The 18968-nt window shown below is 38.5% G+C and overlaps 2 protein-coding genes across 2 annotated transcripts; one reads left to right on the top strand and one right to left on the bottom strand.

Annotated features, from left to right (window-relative positions):
* OR1S2 (olfactory receptor family 1 subfamily S member 2) lies at nucleotides 1965-2903 on the top strand. The gene has a single exon (NM_001004459.2). It carries the CDS (start codon nucleotides 1965-1967, stop codon nucleotides 2901-2903), a length of 939 nt encoding a protein of 312 aa, NP_001004459.2.
* OR9Q2 (olfactory receptor family 9 subfamily Q member 2) lies at nucleotides 12054-17037 on the bottom strand. The gene is made up of 2 exons (NM_001005283.3): nucleotides 16999-17037; nucleotides 12054-15788 (listed from the first exon to the last, which is right to left on the bottom strand). Exon 2 carries the CDS (start codon nucleotides 15614-15616, stop codon nucleotides 14672-14674), a length of 945 nt encoding a protein of 314 aa, NP_001005283.1. The 5' UTR covers nucleotides 15617-15788; nucleotides 16999-17037; the 3' UTR covers nucleotides 12054-14671.
* Between the last annotated feature and the right edge of the window lie 1931 nt (nucleotides 17038-18968).

The following is an 18968-nucleotide window of genomic DNA, read 5'->3' as shown; positions in this document are numbered from 1 at the left end:
GAAAGCAGAAATCAGAGATTGTCACTCAGAAACATACAATTCTCCCTTCTAGTCAAGTGCAAACCAGCCCAGGGCTTGATAACCACAGGCCAGTCTGTATCTTCAATATAGATGCCTGCCAGTTATTTAGCTCATTTCAGTTTTGTTGTGGATTCTCCCTTCTGCATGTGTTTTTCCTCCTCTCTGATTTCTAAGCCAAGCTTTTCAGAAGCAAAGAAACTTCAGATCTCTGCCTCAATCTCCAATGCCTTTCAGTTTTCAGGAATTCCAGACATGATTTCCTCTTTTCTGGATGCTGAATGGAAAGAAAATCTTTGAGAGATAAGTGATGTTGGAGATAGGTAGAAGAGAGGGATAAAATGAGAGGGAGACAATGTTAGGAGAGTAGAAAGAGGGACAAATGTCTCTTTGTTCCCAAGCTGAAATTATTTCCAATAAATCACAAGGAAAATCATACTAGGTCCAGTCTCTCTTCCCTTCTCCTGGATGACACCTTGTGAGAGCCGTTTACCTTTCTGGCCACTTAAGGTTTTAAAAATGTTTAACTTTGATACTGAAGACCCATTTCCAGGTATTAAAAAACCAAGTCCAGCCCAATTTTAAACTTCAGCTTCACTATCAATTCAAAGCATGGGTCCTACCTTGTAAGTTCAGATCTGATGTGTAGCTTGGGTCATACAGTGGAAAGGTGGGAGCATATGTTCTTCCCTTGCTCTTTGGCCTCTCTTCCCGCAAAACCGTTGTTGTTACTATTGTTGTTGTTGTTTTAGTCATTTTGGTCTTTCCTTCTTTTTCAGTTTTATCAGGTCAGGGAGGAAGAATGGGGATGGGAAAAAAGGCAAAAGTGTTCATATCTGTTGCCATAGATACTAGCAGCTTGTGCCTTATATGTGGCAGGCATGGTGTCTCTTGAGATCATTTTGAGGATTGTCAGAGGCTCCCTTTTGGAGACTGCCCCATTATGCGGTTCCCTGACAAGGGCAATGAATTATGTCCCTGATCTCTTTAAGATCTCTCTTTCAAAAGAGACCCACCTCATGGTTTCTTATTGCTACAGCCTCCTCTGCCCCAATAGGCTGTCTCTGGATTGGAATCTCAACAAGGTGACTTGACTCCAATGACCTCCTATAGCATCACGTGTCCTATGGGAAATTCACATATTTATGCCATGTCATGGGTGAAAATGCAGATTGCCCTACTAACCACCATCTTTTCCCTCTACCCTGCCATCACGACCTGATCCAGTGAGCCCCTCACCTTTAGAAATGAGAGGCAAACAGAAGTCTTTAAGTGTATCTGTGCCCCCTAAATTTTCTTGAAGCTAATATCTAGCCACAGATGAAGTAAAACCCTGATTGCTCCTACTTGTACTTATTCTCCAAAAGCACTTGTTTTGGAGTTCTCCCCCGGCGTTAATGGGATGAAGCACCCACACAATGGTGTACACTCCCATAGCCATTCCTAACCCTTAGTTGTGTTTCCTTCTCCAGTCTCTTCACTTTTACGAGACTTGAAATTTCTCCTTTCTTAGATTTAAGGCATAAAGTTGAACAAGGGAGATGATTTGGGGACCAGTTTGGTAACTTTTAAGTAATTCCTGCACATGTACCTAACATCTCTAGAATATAGGGTATGCCTCACCTATGATCCTCAGTTTGGGGGATTTAACCTACATTTAGAACCAACTGGGAAAATCACATTCAGAATTCTGTTAGAGTTTAAAACATGTTCATTGAGAAGAATCTGCCATGTCCTGTCTTTTTCTGTGGCATTTTCCAAATCTCTGCACTGCTGAAATACTTCCTTATTAAGTAGCACTTCCACTTAATAAGCAGAAGAAGCTTTATTGCTCATCAGCTTAAAGGAAGTGCCTTACTGTAATGGCTGCAGCCAAATGACACCATGTTAAATTTTCTTGTAGGTGTATGAAGACTTTGTGTTCCTTTCTTCAGATCAGCAGAAATATGCATCAAGAAAACCAAACCACCATCACTGAATTCATTCTCCTGGGACTCTCCAACCAGGCTGAACATCAAAACCTCCTCTTTGTGCTTTTCCTGAGTATGTATGTGGTCACTGTGGTTGGGAACGGGCTCATCATTGTGGCTATCAGCTTGGATATATACCTTCACACCCCCATGTATCTCTTCCTTGCCTACCTATCCTTTGCTGATATTTCCTCCATTTCCAACTCAGTCCCCAAAATGCTGGTGAATATTCAAACCAACAGCCAATCCATCTCTTATGAGAGCTGCATCACACAGATGTACTTTTCTATTGTGTTTGTCGTCACTGACAATTTGCTTTTGGGGACCATGGCCTTCGACCACTTTGTGGCGATCTGCCACCCTCTGAACTATACAACTTTCATGCGGGCCAGGTTCGGCACTTTGCTCACAGTCATCTCGTGGTTCCTCAGTAATATTATTGCTCTTACACACACCCTTCTGCTCATTCAATTGCTCTTCTGTGACCACAACACTCTCCCACACTTCTTCTGTGACTTGGCCCCTCTGCTCAAACTGTCCTGTTCAGATACAATGATCAATGAGCTTGTGTTGTTTATTGTGGGTTTATCAGTTATCATCTTCCCCTTTGTACTCATCTTCTTCTCCTATGTCTGCATCATCAGAGCTGTCCTGGGAGTATCATCCACACAGGGAAAGTGGAAAGCCTTCTCCACTTGTGGCTCTCACCTGACAATTGCATTACTGTTCTACGGAACCACTGTAGGCGTGTACTTTTTCCCCTCCTCCACTCACCCTGAGGACACTGATAAGATTGGTGCTGTCCTATTCACTGTGGTGACACCCATGATGAACCCCTTCATCTACAGCTTGAGGAATAAGGATATGAAAGGTGCCCTGAGAAAGCTCATCAATAGAAAAATTTCTTCCCTTTGATGCCCTGGACATCTACATTCTTTTAGTCCACATAATCAGATAAATGATTCAGCCCAGAGTGTATGACACAGTTGTGACGGTTCAACTTTTGATGAACTTGCAGATGTCTGTCTCCTATTCCAACCTCTAAGGGGATTGGAGCTTTTCCACTTAGCTCTTGTCTTGGAAACAAAATCTGTAACTGCCATGGTAAGTCACAAGAATAACACGCATCCTTAGAGAGTAGATTGGTGGTTACCAGGGCCCAGTAGCAGAGAAGTGGAGTGGAGTTGAATAGAGGTTGATTAATGGGTACAACAATACAGTTAGATAGAAGAAATAAGACCTATTGTTTGATAAATCATTATGGGGCACTATGGTAAACAGTAATCTATTATATATTTCAAAATAGCTAAAAGAGAATAATTCCAATGTTCCCAGCATAAAGAAAAGATAAATGTTTAAGGTTATGGATATCCTAATCCCCTAATTTGATTATTACACATTATATGAATGTATCAAAATATAAGATGTTCCCCATAACTATGGAGGACAATTTATCAATAAAAATACATGTATTGATAAATTAAAAATTTATGCATAAATAAAAAATTAATTTAAAAACACATCTTAATTACAATCTATATTATTATAAACTTTGGTACAAATTATTCATAACCTAGACTATCACAGGTGCATAGAGTGCCTACAGTCTAGCCTTTGTAGCTTTGAAGACAGTTATTACTACTTCTTTCTTTAATCTACATTTCTTTAGGTCAGTTTTTCTCAAAGTTTGTTTTGTTAAGGTACTATTCAGTGAGATGTTTAGTGGTTATAACAATGAAGATTCCCATGGTCAAATAATTTTTGGCAACTCTGAGTTATATGAAGCACAATGTAATAACTGGACAACTTCCAAGAACCTTCATTGTCATGTAAATCTCCAAGAGGGTAAGATGGTACACAGCATTTCTCAAGACTAAACTTGAAATAATTGAAATTCAATTATTTCCATCATACAGAACCCAATTCATCACAGTTGTTCGCGGAACTAGCATTGCACAAATATGTTTTAGGAAATATGACTCCAGATGACTTCAATTATTTCAGTGGAAAACCACAGAGTTTATGTATAAATGTATCAGTTAGAGTTCTGACTCTGTCCCCAACAGCTATGTAGTATATAGTAGACACTAAAAACAAAGTGATACTTTTTTTTAACTGCCCACCTTCCTGGCTTCCAACTCCGACCTACCTGCCCTGCCAAATTAAGTTTATTTTTTCCCAGCCTAAGCTGACTTCCGTTCTTCTCTAAACTTAGAATCATCCAACCTATTTAAGAGGAAATGTATAATCAGCCACCTGCCTTTCTCCATGCTATCTCGTAAACTTTGATGCTTCCTTTTAGTTTTCATTATAAATGTAAAACCCACCTGCTTCTGTATGGGCTACCAAATAAACCTCTCAACAGTTCTAGCCTTCCTCAAGTACCTCAATACCCATCCTGTTTCATCCGTAGCTCCAACATGGAACAGCACAGAACTCTGCCTTCATTATTCCATGTGGAGCAGTAGAAAGGGTCCCAGATTTGTAATCAAGAGACATGGAATCTAGACCAACTCTGCAGCTAATTCACTGCAAGGCAAGTCATGTTGCTAATCTCTCAGCTTCTTTTTTCTGTGATCTTGCAATTGGTCTAATATGAACAAAGAAAGTTTTATAACAGCATGTATCATAAAAACCCATTTTTTGTAAAACAGAATTTGCATAAAGAGATGCCTCAGAGGAGAGCCATCAAAATATAAGTGGTTGTGGCAGATTGCATTTCCCAAAAATGGCCACAATATTTCCATCCCACGTGCTCTTGAAGTACCCTACCACTTCTCCATCAAGAGGTGGAGCCCATGACCCTCACCATTGAGCTTGGTTTTGAGTACTTTTTTGACCAATAGAGCACCCCATTAGTACTGTTGCATGATTTCTGAGGCTGTCTTAGAAGAACCAATTCAGCTTTGATATGGACTAAATATTTGTTTCCCCCCAAAATTCATGTGTTAAAATCCTAACCCTCAAACTGATGGTAGTAGGAGGTGGAGCCTTTGAAAGCTGAGTAGGTCATGAGGATGAAGCCCTCATAAATTATTAGTGCCTTTATACAAGGGATCCCAGAGAATTCTATTTCTGCCACATGGAGAAATACATCAAGAAATCAACAGTCTGAAACCAAAAGAGAGGTCTCATCAGAACCTGACCATCCCGGCTAGCACACTCATCTCAGACTTTCAGCCTTCAGAACTATGAAAAATAAATGTTTTTTAAGCCACCAAGTTCATGGAAATTTGTTATAGCATCCCAGACAAAGACACACTTCCACCTGTCCCACTCTCTCTCTCGGGACATGGACCTCTGGAGCTCTGAGTTGCTATGGAAGTCCCACTACCCTAAAGTCACCATGCTGGACAGACCATATGGAAAGACTATACAGAATTCAAGAGAGTTGTCCAAGGAGTCCCAGCTGCACTGGTCCAACAGTCTTTGAGTCTCCCTACCCAGTCACCAACATGTGAGTGAGTTTTCAGGTGATTCCAGCCTCAGCCCCAACCACAAGGCACATGAGAGACCAAGTGAAAACTACCTAGCCAAGCCCAGCCAACCCCTAGAACCCAAAAGACAACCATAAGATGATTGTTATTGTTTTAAGTTTCTCCCATTTGGAGTGGTTTGTACACAGTAATATATAACCATAACAGTGGTTTTGCTTGGGTCATGAGATAAAATGATTCATATTACATTCTGTATTGCTTTAACATTTTACAATGATTACCATTATAGGAAGAGGGAAAAACTTTTTAAAATTTTAATGAATATGAACTGTCTTGCCTATTCAACCATCATACTTAAGATGGTACCAGAATTTTCTCAGTTATATAAACATTAGTTGGTGAACCTGGGATTCCCCATCCCCCAGCCTTTCTTCTGGTTAGATCTAGTCCATATTTGATAGAATAAGGACCACTAGGGTTAAACTCAGGTGATTTGGTCTAAACTGATCCCATCCCTGTTGGCCTGTGCTGAACCTCTTATCTCTGGCGTGTAGGTCCCATAGGAGGCTGGAAAGTAGAACTTCATCAGCAGTGAGTAACAGAAAGGTTAATTTGGGCCAGATTTAGACTTACATGTACATTGAGAGTGTGCCTAAGAAAATGAATTAGGATTAGATTTGGGACACAGAACAGAATTGAGTAAGAAAATAGAAAGTCACAAACTTTTATAAAAATCCAGACAAGTCTTTACAGAGGAAATGCGTAAATCTATGTCTAGATACTTTTATTTCCCTGAATCATTCTCCAATTTGCCATTTTCAAGAAACATTTATTGAGAACTTTCTATTTGTCAGGATCTGAATCTGGGACTAAAAGAATGAATAATTCACAGTGCATGACCTCAGTGCACTCTCAACCTAAAAAGAAAAATTAACTTAAAAATGATTTTACATGATTTTTAAGACTTGATAAGTGAAGACAATGTTTGGTCAATAATTAATGTCATCAGATTAAGAAAACATAAAGATTTTGTGCAAAGCACAGCCAACTGAATTTTACACTATTCTTGTTCTTTTGTGTTAGCTGTACCTGAGAAAAGCCAATTTTTGATGTTATGAATAAATCAACAGAAACTCATGCCATCTCGTTGTAGCTAACACAAATGCAAGAGGACTGCCTAGAAACACACACAAAAAAAATCTATACATTGGCTGGGAATAACTTGTAAAACCTCATCTATAAAGGGTCAGCAAATATTTACTTACTGATCACTAGAATTTTTTTTAATACCTATTGAGAGTCAAAAGGAAATGAGGCAATGCTGTTGCTTCCTTGGCTCTTACTTCATAGTGCATAAGACAGATAATGAACACATAAATAAATACATCATTGATATAATATGAGGTGGTAAGAAGAATTCAATGAGAGGTAAAGCAGGTATGGGGACAATGAAACAGAGAGTGGCTAATGATAGCAAAGGAAGTTTAGGCCTTGGGGAAGGACTCTGTTAGATATTTGAACAGAGAACTGAATAGAATAAGGGAGTGAACCATGAGACCTGGGGACGCATTCCAATAAAAGGGAAGAGCACGTTTAAAATCCTTATGGGAACAGGTTTTGCATTCTGCATGGACAGCATTCTCCATGGCTAGAGCAGAGTGAGTGAGGAGAGTGGAAGCACATATAGTCATGGAGGTAATTAGAAACCCATACAGGCTGAGTCTTATAGGCCATGGTAAAGAATTTTATTTTATTTTATTTAAATAAAAGAAGTATTTAAAGTCATAGGGCTTGGTGAAATTACCTAAGGAGCAACTAAGAGAGAGAGCAAGGTCAATGACAAAGCCCTGGTAGACTCTAATATTTAAGAAACAGAATAAACTAGTAGTCAGGAAGACAAAGGAAGAATGTGAAAGTTTGTCCAAGAAAAAAGAAGGAGCAACTGTTTCAAATAACACAGGACCCAAACCATTACTCCTGAAATCATACTTTCTGATCTGTTCTCTTCAACTCAGGCAGCTATCATGCCTAGCTATCTCTCAAGCAGTCCTGAATCCTCAGCATTGAAATCGAAATGAAACTACCTCCTTCAGAACAGATTTTTCAGAAGATGAAAAAATTTCAAATGTCTTCTTTTCCTCTGTCTTCCTTCCACTTGCATATGTCCCTCTATATATATTCTCCTTTTAACAGAGGATTGTAAATGACTCAGAACTACAAACCTCTTTTAAAATTGGCATACAGTTTTAGGTAATACCATCTGTGACAATTTTACCCACCCTAGAATGATCAGGAACATCTTCTACTTACTGTGATAATGAAAAGAATAATATACTGTAACCAAGTGTAGTTTATCCCCCAAATTACAAGAATGGTTTAACATTCAAAAATCAGAAAATGCTATCCATCATATTAATAAACAAAAACAAAACTAGATTATCAGCTCAGTAGATGCAGAAAATCCTAAATCCATTCCTGATTTTAAAAAGAAAAATACTATGAAAAGAAAAAACAGGAATCAAAGGGAACTCCCTTATGTGAAAAAGATCATCTGTGAAAAATCTACATAAGGAATGGTGGGAAAATGAGAGATTATTCCCTAATATAAACAATAGGACAGAAATTTACATTCTCCTCATTTCCGTTTAACATTGTATTTGAAGTTCTAGCCAGTGCAATAAGGCAAGAAAAAGAAATAAAACTATTCAAATTAGAAAGAAAGAGATAAAACTGCTTTTATTCATAGACAACACAATTGTGTATGTAGAAAATCAAAAGGAATAAATAGAAGAAGCTACTAAAACTAATAAGTGAGTTTAGCAAGCTTGCAAGATACAAATATAGTAGCATAAAGACAGACATATAGACAAATGGAACTGAATAGAGAGCCCAGAAATAAACCCAAATATGATCAACCAATATTTGACAAGGGCGCCAAGAATACACAGTGGAGAAATTATAGTGCCTTCAACAAATGATATTGGGAAAGCCAGATTTCCACATGCAAAGGAATGAAGTTGGATGCTAATCACACACCATACACAAAAATCAATCCAACATGAATTAAAAACTTACATAAATGTAAATCCTGAAACTCTTAGGAGAAAATGCAGAGGAAAATGTTCATGATTTTGGTTTTGGCAACACTTTCTTAGCTATGACACCAAACGCACAGGCAACAAAAGCAAAACTAGACAAGTTAGACCACATCAAATTTTTTAAAGCTGCTTCTCTTCAAAGGAAACAGTCAACAGAGTAAAATGACAACCTAAGGAATTGGAGAAGATATTTGCAAATCATATATCTGATAAGGGATTAATATCTAAAATATACCAGGAACTTGTACAACTCAATAGGAAAAAAAAGTAATTGAATTAGAAGACGGGTAAAAGATCTAAATACACATTTGTCCAAAGAAGACATAAAAATGGCCAACAGGTATATGAAAAGATGTTCAACATCACTATTCATCAGAAAAATGCAAATCAAAACCACAGTGAAATATCACCTCACATATGTTAGGATGGCTATTCTCAAAAAGTCAAAAGATAAGTGTTGGAGAGGGTGTGGAAGAAAAAAAAAAACAGTTGTTCATTTTTAGTGGGAATGTAAATTGGTATACAATCCAGCAACTCCATTTCTGAGTTTTTATCCAAAGAAAATGAAATCAGTATCTCAAAAATATATCTGCACTCTCATGTTAATTGCAGCATTAGTCACCGTGGCTAAGATAGAGAAAACACTTGTGTCTATAGATGGATGAATGGATAAAGGAAATGTGGTATACATATACAATGGAGTATTATTTATTAATCGCTATAAAAAAGAAGAAAATACCAGCATCTGTGACAACATGTATGAACCTGGAGGATATTATGCTAAGTGAAAAATAATCCAGACACAGAAAGGCAAATACTGTATGATATCAATGATATGTGGAATCTAAAAAAGTCCAACTCATAGAAGCAGAGAACAATAGTTTCCAGTGGCTGGAGGTGGAGAAAAATAATATATTGATCAAAGGGAACAAATTTTCAGTTATAAAATGAACAAGTTCTGGAGATTTCACATACAGCATGTGTGGTGATAGGTGCGTTGATTAATTTGTTTGTGATAATGATTACACAATGTAATGATTATTACAATGCATCTACCAAGTCATCAAATTACACACCATATATATATATATATATATATATATATATATATATATACACAATCTTTATTCAATAAATCTTTTTAAATTAAAAAAACATTTTAATGGGCAAAAGATCTGAATAGTATTTTTCCAAAATGATATACAACTGACCAACAGGTATATGAAAAGATGCTTAACATCACTCATCAACAGGGGAATGCAAATCAAACCACAATGAGATATCATCTCACACCTGTTAGGATGGTTATTATTTTTTTAAAAAAATAAATGATTGTGAGGACATGGAGAAATTGGAACCCTTGTACACTGTTGTGGGAAATGTAAGATGATGCAGTTGCTATGGGAAACAGTATGAAGTTTTCTCAAAAAACTAAAGATAGAATTATCGTATGACTCAGCAATAAATATTCAATACTTCTGAGTATTTATCCAAAAGAATTGAAACCAATATATCTATATCTATATCTATATAGATATAGATATATATATGTGTGTGTGTGTGTGTGTGTGTGTGTGTACTCCCATGATCATTGAAGCATTATTCGTAGTAGCTGAGATGTGGAAATAACCTAAATGTCCACTGACATATGAAGAGATAGAGAAAATGTGGTACAGTTAGCCCTCTGCCTCTGTGGGTTCCACAGTCATGGATTCAACCAATCTTGGATCAAAATAGTTGAAAAACAATTGTGTCTGTACTGAACGTGTATAGACTTCTTTCTTGTCATTATTTTTTAAACAATACAGTATAACAACTATTTAAATAGCACTTATGAATAGCATTTACATTGTATTAGGGATTATAAGTAATCTAGAGATCATTTAAAGTATACAAGAAGCCGGGCGCGGTGGCTCACGCCTGTAATCCCAGCACTTTGGGAGGCCGAGGCGGGTGGATCATGAGGTCAGGAGATCGAGACCATCCTGGCTAACAAGGTGAAACCCCGTCTCTACTAAAAATACAAAAAATTAGCCGGGCGCGGTGGCGGGCGCCTGTAGTCCCAGCTACTGGGGAGGCTGAGGCAGGAGAATGGCGTGAACCCGGGAAGCGGAGCTTGCAGTGAGCCGAGATTGCGCCACTGCAGTCCGCAGTCCGGCCTGGGTGACAGAGCGAGACTCCGTCTCAAAAAAAAAAAAAAAAAAAAAAAAAAAAAGTATACAAGAAGATGTGCATAGGTTTATATGCAAATATTACATCATTTTATATCAGGGACTTGAGCATCTGCAGATTTGGGTATTTGTGGAAGGTCCTGGAACAAATCCCCTGATGGACACTGAGGGATGACTGTATATATTAGAATATTACTCATCTTTTAAAGGAAATCTTACCATATGCAACTACACAGATGAACCTTGAAAACATTATGCTAAGTGAAATAAGTCAGTCACAGAAAGAAAAATACTACATGATTTCACTTTAAGGTATCTAAAATAGTCAAACTCATAAAAGCAAAAATAGAATGGTGGTTGCCAGGGGCTTGGGGCCAGGAAGAATGAGGAATTGTAGTTCAATAGGTATAAAGTTCCAGTTATGCAAGATGAATAAATTCTGGAGATTTGCTGTAGAACATCATCCTTACGGTTAACAATACCATACTAAACTCAAAATTTGTTAAGAGGGTAAATATCTTGTTATCTGTTCTTACCACAAAGTACAAAAATTAGAAAGACTGACCATGCTAAGTTTTGGTGAGGATTTGGAAGAACTGGAACTCTCATGCACTGTTAGCACTGTTGGTGGGAATGTTTAGTGATACAACCACTTTGAAAACAGTTTGGCTGTTTCCTAAGAAATTAAACATATGCCTACTATGTAATCCAACCACTTCACCCTTAGGTACCTAAGAGAACTGAAAGTATATATCCATACAAAGGTTGTTCATGAATATTCACAGCAGGTTTGCTTATAATAGCCAAAAAGTGGAAACAATTAAAATCCCCATAAATAGATGAATGAATAAACAAACATAGTATACAATGTGATAATACTCAGCAATAATGTGAAATGAATTATTGATATACACAACAATGTTAATGATTCTCAAAATAATTATGCTAAGTAGAAGAAGTCAGATATGAGTCCATTGACATAAAATTTATATAAAATTCAAACTAATGTATAGGACAAAAAGCAGACCAGTAGTGGCCTGAGGGTGTAGATGGGGAATGATGTGAAGGGGCACATGGGAGAAATTGTAGTAGGTATAAGGAAACTTGGGAAGTGATGTACATGTTCATTATCTTGATTATGGTGATGGTTTCATGAGTGTATACATGTCAAAACTTATCAAATTGTACACTTTAAATATGTACAGTTTATTGCATGTCAAATCTCAATAAAACTATATTTTAAAGTTTTAGTAAATTAGAAGGGATTTCAGATACATCTTTTGAATGATGTCTTTTGATAATAATGATAGATATAACAAAAATAACAAAGTAAATACACATTGTATATATGTACAATTCCATATTTGTAAATGCTAATAGTAATAAATAACAATAATCAGTGTTTGGAAAGGAATATTTAATTCCTTAGGTAATCACTTAAGACTGAAAAAGAAGACCCGAAGGGAAGGTTAGTGCCTGCTTGGAGGCACTAAGCCGATTAACTATTTATTGAAGCACTCTGAGCCAAGAGATATTCTGGAAGGGCTTTGAAGGCAATACTTTACCTGAGCCCACCCTGCTCTTTCTGAGGGAGTTATAGATTCCCCCAGACTCTCCTCATTGGCCTACAAGAGGGCCAAAATGAGTTCCATGAACTTCACAATAATGTGAGTCCATCAAACTCACCCATCTCAGCCCACACCTACCAAACATGGAGATCAAGAATGCAACTGAAATCCAGATAACCTCTGAAGCAAACTATAACCAGGAACTAGGGCCTGGGAGAAGGAGAAGAAAGAGTGCAGAAGGGCAGTTATCAGATAAGAGTATGTACTTTGGAGTCAGAGACCTGAGAACAGAACCTCCCTCATCTGCCACTTTCTTGCTACATAACTTGGTCAAGTCACATAATATCTCTGAGTCTTAGATTTTCTTTTTTGTTTTGCTAAATGGGGTCAATAAAAATTACTTTTCATTAACATTGTTAGGAGGGCTAAAATAAAGGATTCATGTAAAGCTTTTAGCATTGTACCTAGGATATGGTAAGTGTGCACTAGCTTAAGAATTAAGTTAAAAAATTATTTGAGAACTTGACTCCTGGAAATGTCCAGGTTTAGAGCTAATCTGGGCCCAGGAGGGACTGTTCCAGACAGTTCTTCAATAAAGAGGCCCAGAGATCAGCTATGGGTCCCTCTGCCCATCACTACTCACTAGGCTGTGGAGCCTGGACAAGCACCATACTAACATGAATTAATAACAGTAATTAATAACACTAAATAATGTTTATAATATTACCGAATGCCTTCCAATTATCCAAATATACCAAGTTATTGTGAGAATAAATGAGATACATGTAAATCATGTCCCAGAGTAAGTGCTTAGTAAGTATTATTTCACAGAGGAGAAGCAGGCTGAAAGGCACTAATTAATCTGAAGCCACACTGCTAAGAAGTGGCAGACTGGACACTTTGGTGCCAAGTTCTGAGTTCTTTCCACAACACAAATATGTCTAACACCCACCACAGATGTTGGTGTGCTCTGAAAATATTTGCATGACAGTTAATATTTGGAAAATGAACATCAAGAGGCATTCTGTGGTATTCCTTCACCCCAATCTGCAGTTTTTAAATGATTTCTACCAGAGCTGATATATGATCCCAAACCTCTTGGCCATAGGTGTTCATTTTTTCCCTATACCTTTTCCTAAATATGCCCAGCCATCTCCTTTCTAAAATATTTATTATATCTCCTTAAAACAAACATTCCTCAAATTCAGAAGTTGCTGTTTACACACTTCACTTTATCATGCACAACTATACACACACACACACATATATACACAAAGTCACATTATACAATCCTAGAACATAGGGGCTATAAAATGAATTTTGTTGACTGCCATCTACACCAACAGATTGGACTTTTACCTTTTCTTCACCAGATAAAAGGAAAAAGAAAAGAGCAATAACAATAAATTCCGGTTGAGTGATTATATAGAATAGGCAATAGATTACAGCTAGCAACAGTGTGTGTGTCCGATAGGAGCTCAGGCCTAGCTGGGTGGAAGCCCCACCCAACTACTTGCTTGCCGACCTTGAGAATATTACTCAACATCTCTAAGCCTCAAGTGCCTCACCTACCTATAAAGCAGAGATAATAATAGAACCTACCTCATAGGGATGTCCTGTAAATTAAATCAAATAATTCCTGTAGCAAACTTATTGTAAGTCCTGGAAGATAATAATGCCTAATAAGTGTAACTTGCTATTATTATTATTATTATTATTATTATTATTTTCCTCATTGTTATTCAAAAATCACAGAAACAAGAAGATAAAAAAAGAAAGAATAAATGAATAAATGACAAAATTTGGAAAATACCTTTGGATCAAAACAGCAGTTGTATTTGTAGACTGCTTTATAATTTTCCAAATATTCTTGCTTCACTCATCAAGTATTTATTGTGTTGGGCAATGCACTGTGTTCTGCAGATACTAGTGAATAAGACAGAGGCGATCCTTGTCCATTTATGCATTGGATCCTCAAAACCATAGTCCTATAAGGTAGATAAATCTACTTGACAGATAAGAAAACTGATGACTGAAGAAATTACAACTTAAAAGTAGACAATGGAACCTGAGATTCATTCACTCAACAAATATTTATTGAGTGCCTTTCACATGCTAGGTGCTTTGCTAGGAACTGGACATATAGAAATGAAGCTCAGATAAAAAAGTATTTGCTCTCATGTTGCTTACTTTCTAGTTGTGAGCATTAGAAAATGTCAAACACATATAACATCTAATATGTCAGATGATGATAAGTATTACATGGAATAATAAATCAGAAAGTGGAGGTGGGAAGTTCAGGTGCGATTTTGCATAGGGTTATTTAGGAAAGTCTCTCCAGAAGGTGCTATTGAGAAAAGACAGAAAAGATGGGGAAACTAAGGAATGATATATTTCACAAGGGTCCATTTAGGGTCTTCTAGCAGGCTTTGATTTGCTCAGGGCTTTCCTAGTGGCCTCTTTTACCTCCTTGTTTCTCAGGCTATAGATAAGGGGATTCAGCATTGGGGTCACCACCGTGTAGAGCACAGACACCACTCGGTCTCCCTCGGAGGACTGGCCTGTGTTGTCTCGCAGGTACATGAAGATGAGGGTGCCAAAGAAAAGAGCGACGGCAGTGAGGTGGGAGGCGCAGGTGGAGAAGGTCTTGGCCCGGCCTCCAGCAGAGTGGATCTGCAGGATGGCCACAATGATAAACAGGTAGGATACCAAGATCACCAAGATACAGGCAGGCATGACGAAAAGAGCAAACACAATAATCACCACTTCCTGAGTGTAGCTGTCCCCACAGGAGAGTTTTAATAGAGGAGGGAGGTCACAGAAAATGAAGTTGATCTCATTGTTTCCACAAAAGGAGAGAGTGAAGGCTGTGACCGTTCGAACAAAGGCACTGAAAAAACCAGCAACGTAAGCCCCAGTGACTAGGCCCCAGCGGGCCTTCTCGGTTATGATGGTGACATAAAGCAGGGGCTGGCACACGGCCGTGTAGCGGTCATAGGCCATGATGGCCAGAAGGTAGCAGTCGATGGAGGCAAAGAAGGTGAAGAGGAAGAACTGAGCTGCACAGCGAGCCTGGGAGATGGTTGTGCCGTGCTCCCACAGCACAGCCAGCATCTGAGGGATGATGGCGGACGAGTAGCAGATGTCCACCAAGGAAAGGTGGCTGAGGAAGAAGTACATCGGGGTGTGGAGCCGACGATCGCCACGGATCAGGAGGATCATGCCTGTGTTCCCTAACATAGTGGCAAGATAGAAACTCAAAAATATGAGGAAGAGAGGAACCCTCCACTGGAGATGTTCAGTAAATGCAGTAAGGAAGAACTCCGTCACTACGGTGTAATTCCTTTCAGCCATCCATCCAGTGGTTCACCTGCAACGGCTAAGACAAGAGCCAGATGAGGGGACAGCTCAAGAGGAGTTCAAATGATTTCAAGTAACAAAGCTTTAAATTGAATGTCTTACATGTCGGCACTCAACTTCAACACACTTTTCAGTCGAAGATAGATATAGACAGATATTGAGCTCACTGTAATATAAGATAAAAAGTGATGAATGCTTCTATTATAGAAAGAACAGAGAGCAAGTGATTCCTGACTTACAAGTCAGCGCTTGTATTTGCAACTCTGTCCCCAATTAGCTGTTTGATCTTACACAAGGCACTTAACCTCTCTGAACCTCAATTTCCTCCTCTGCCAAAAGAGGATCATAATGCTTGCCCTGCTTATGAGATAAGATTAATGCGTAGGTTAAAACAGAGGCAAAAGCACATTGGAAAGCTAAAAGCACTCCACATATATAAGGTGGCTATTAAAATTTTAAATGAATGTTTTAAGGAAGGAAAATTTATATTCTCTGAACAAAAACATATAAACAAAAAAATCTATTAGCAATCAGCAATGGGCTCTGCTTGTAGGAATATTACTATTCTCAGTCTAACAACATGCAAGTTTAACAAACAGCTGTTATCCTAATTAGAGTAGGCTGGCTTATTAAGGGTGTGTATACACACACATAAACACACACTCAAGCATTGACCTTGAAATCAAAAGAGCAAACATAAGTTTTTTTGGGCACCTAACAAAGCTCCATAAGCTTTGTTTGGTTGTTCTCAAAGCCCCTAATAAACACAGTAGCTTGAAAATAAACAGCATCCAAATTTGAAAGCAGAAATATTTTTGTAGTCTTGTGTTGTCTGAGTGCTGTTGGAGAAATTCGGATTAATAAATTTGGGGGTCCTTAGTGGAGTTCTAGAACAGGGCTGTAAAGGAGGGCTTTGATAGTGTTTGAGTACCTGTTGTACCAGCAGCCAGACCAATACTGAGCTGACCCATTGAGGAGAATAACAAAGAAAACAAATTAGATCTGAAAGTCATGAGCTGGACACAAACTGTCCTCACCTGAATTCTACTTTGCTAATGCCCTCCTCTTTTGTTTAGTGTGTTGTCTGCCCATCACCTGCCAAGCCAAAGGACACCTGGCTTCTAGTTCACCCACACTGCATGTAAGACCCTGGGCAAGTCACGTTTCCTCTCTGGGCTTCAGTTACCTTGCCTTTGTTCCCTTTCCGTAAATAAAATTGCAGATAACCCCATAATCATAGCAACCTGATGAGATGGGGTCACTTCCAATACTTCTGTGTTTTAGTCTCACTTCTAGGAGTCTCTCTCTTTCCTCTACCCCTTGACAAAACAATATATCCCTGACACTAGTGTTTCCTTAGATTTTTCTAGACTTACTTTGAGATAACAAGACTAGGGGACCAGCCTTTCTCCCTGAGCTTCCAATCTATCATGAAACCTTGCTGATGTGCTTCTTATATTCGCTGTCCCAGTATTACACCCTAATTGGTTCCTGAGGTGATTCTCCAGGGGAAGGAGACTTATCTTCATATGACTTCCTAACAAGGTGTCTAATTAATACCTTTGAAAGTTTCTCTTTAATTTCAAACTTCCAAAGCCCCATCCCTCAGCAAGGTCTGATGGAGCTGGCTCCTAGTCTTGCGTTCTTCCTGCCTTGTACCAAAAGAAATGTACTTCTTTGAAGGTTTCCTATATCTCAATTGGGAGTTTTGTCAGGGGTTTTACACAATGCCACCATAGCCAGCTATGAACTGATCCCCAAAGGAGGCTTTTTATAAGCATAAGCTTTTGCTCCCCATTGCCAAAACATGCTGTAATTGATGACTTCGAAAGTTCATCATTTGGCAGAAGTAGAGAATGGTGCAGGTGGGGAGTCATAAGATAAAATGTTGGAGAGGCCAATGTGGGTGGGCTGTGAACAGACTTCCACCAGGCAAGCTGAGCAAATTCTTGATGGTAACCAACCCCTCCACCATAGCACTAGTTCTCAAACTTCAGTGTGTGTAAGAATTTATCCAGAGAACTTGTTTAAAATGTGAATAGCAGTGTCCCACCTCCATAGATTGATGCAGATGCAGTACATCCGCCATGGGAGCAGTATCTACATTATGAACAGGCATACCAGGGGATTTCCAAACAGTTAATCTCCAAAAATTGTGGCACCAATGCCTTGGGATTGGGACCTCTAGACCTCCCTGCCCCTCTGTGTGTCCTGCCATAAACTAAAGTAAAATAATAAAGACATGTTCTTGCAAAGCATGATTTCTCCAAAGTCCTATCAGTGCCTTTCTTCCTCATGGGAGACCCAAGATAGGGTGAATGTGATGTCTCCCTGTCTTATCAATTTTAAAAACCTAGATACAGAAAGGACTCTGGAGCTTCTTGGTGGCAAAACAATGACTTGGACCAGGTCAACGCTCAGTTGACTGAACCTATCTGGAATATGGCACTAGACAAAAGGACCCCAGGGCAGTGGTTCTCAATCTTCACTGCACATTAGAATCACCTGGGAAGCAACTCGTAAGGCCCAGATTGTACCCCTTAACAATTGAATCAGAATGCCTGAGTGTAGGAGCCGAACACCAGTAATTTTCATAAATTCCCTGGTGATTATAACATGTAGCAGATTTGAGAACCATACCGGAAGGCTTGTCTTTTGAAGGCCTTACCTTTTGCCAGGTGTCGTAAGTAGACGTTCCAGGAAAATAGGTTCACTGTTCTCATAAATCTGGAGATCACTGCATACTACATTCTTCACATGGAAAATCACATTATATATTAGCATATTAAAGGATCTACAAAATCCTATAATTAAGAAACCTTGGCAAACTAATACAGGAACAGAAAAACAAATACCACATATTCTCACTTATAAGTGGGAGCTAAATGATAAGAATACATGAACATATAGAGAGGACCAACACACACTGGGGCCTGTTGGAGGGTGGAAGGTGGGAGGAGGGAGAGGATCAGGAAAAACAACTAATGGGTTGTTACCCATTAAGATTAATACGTGGGTGATGAAATAATCTGTACAACAAACCCCCATGACACAAGTTTATCTTTGTAACAAACCTGTACATGTACCCCTGAACTTAAAAGTTAAAGAAAAAGAAAAATAAGAAAAGAAACCTCATCAACTTTTTCCTAACCCACCATTTCCCAAAAGAATTTGAGCGCAGAACTTCTTTTTCATTAACGTCGTACAGAACTAGAGTTCTAAGGAAAGGATGCTCCTTAGGCAGTACAGCTCTAAAGAGGCTCAGAAACTGTCCAAATGCCAAATAGCAAAGTAGTAATTGTTCCAAGAAACAGCATCTCCTGATGACTTCATCTCAGGATCTGGC

Source organism: Homo sapiens, chromosome 11 (genome assembly GCF_000001405.40).
Source record: "Homo sapiens chromosome 11, GRCh38.p14 Primary Assembly".
Classification (NCBI taxonomy): domain Eukaryota; kingdom Metazoa; phylum Chordata; class Mammalia; order Primates; family Hominidae; genus Homo; species Homo sapiens.
This window is presented reverse-complemented; position numbering and strand designations above follow the sequence as displayed.

Bases quoted from the DNA above. Each gene is read 5' to 3' on its own strand.
- OR1S2 (NM_001004459.2), top strand. From the start codon at position 1,965: ATGCATCAAGAAAACCAAACCACCATCACTGAATTCATTCTCCTGGGA.
- OR9Q2 (NM_001005283.3), bottom strand. From the start codon at position 15,616: ATGGCTGAAAGGAATTACACCGTAGTGACGGAGTTCTTCCTTACTGCA.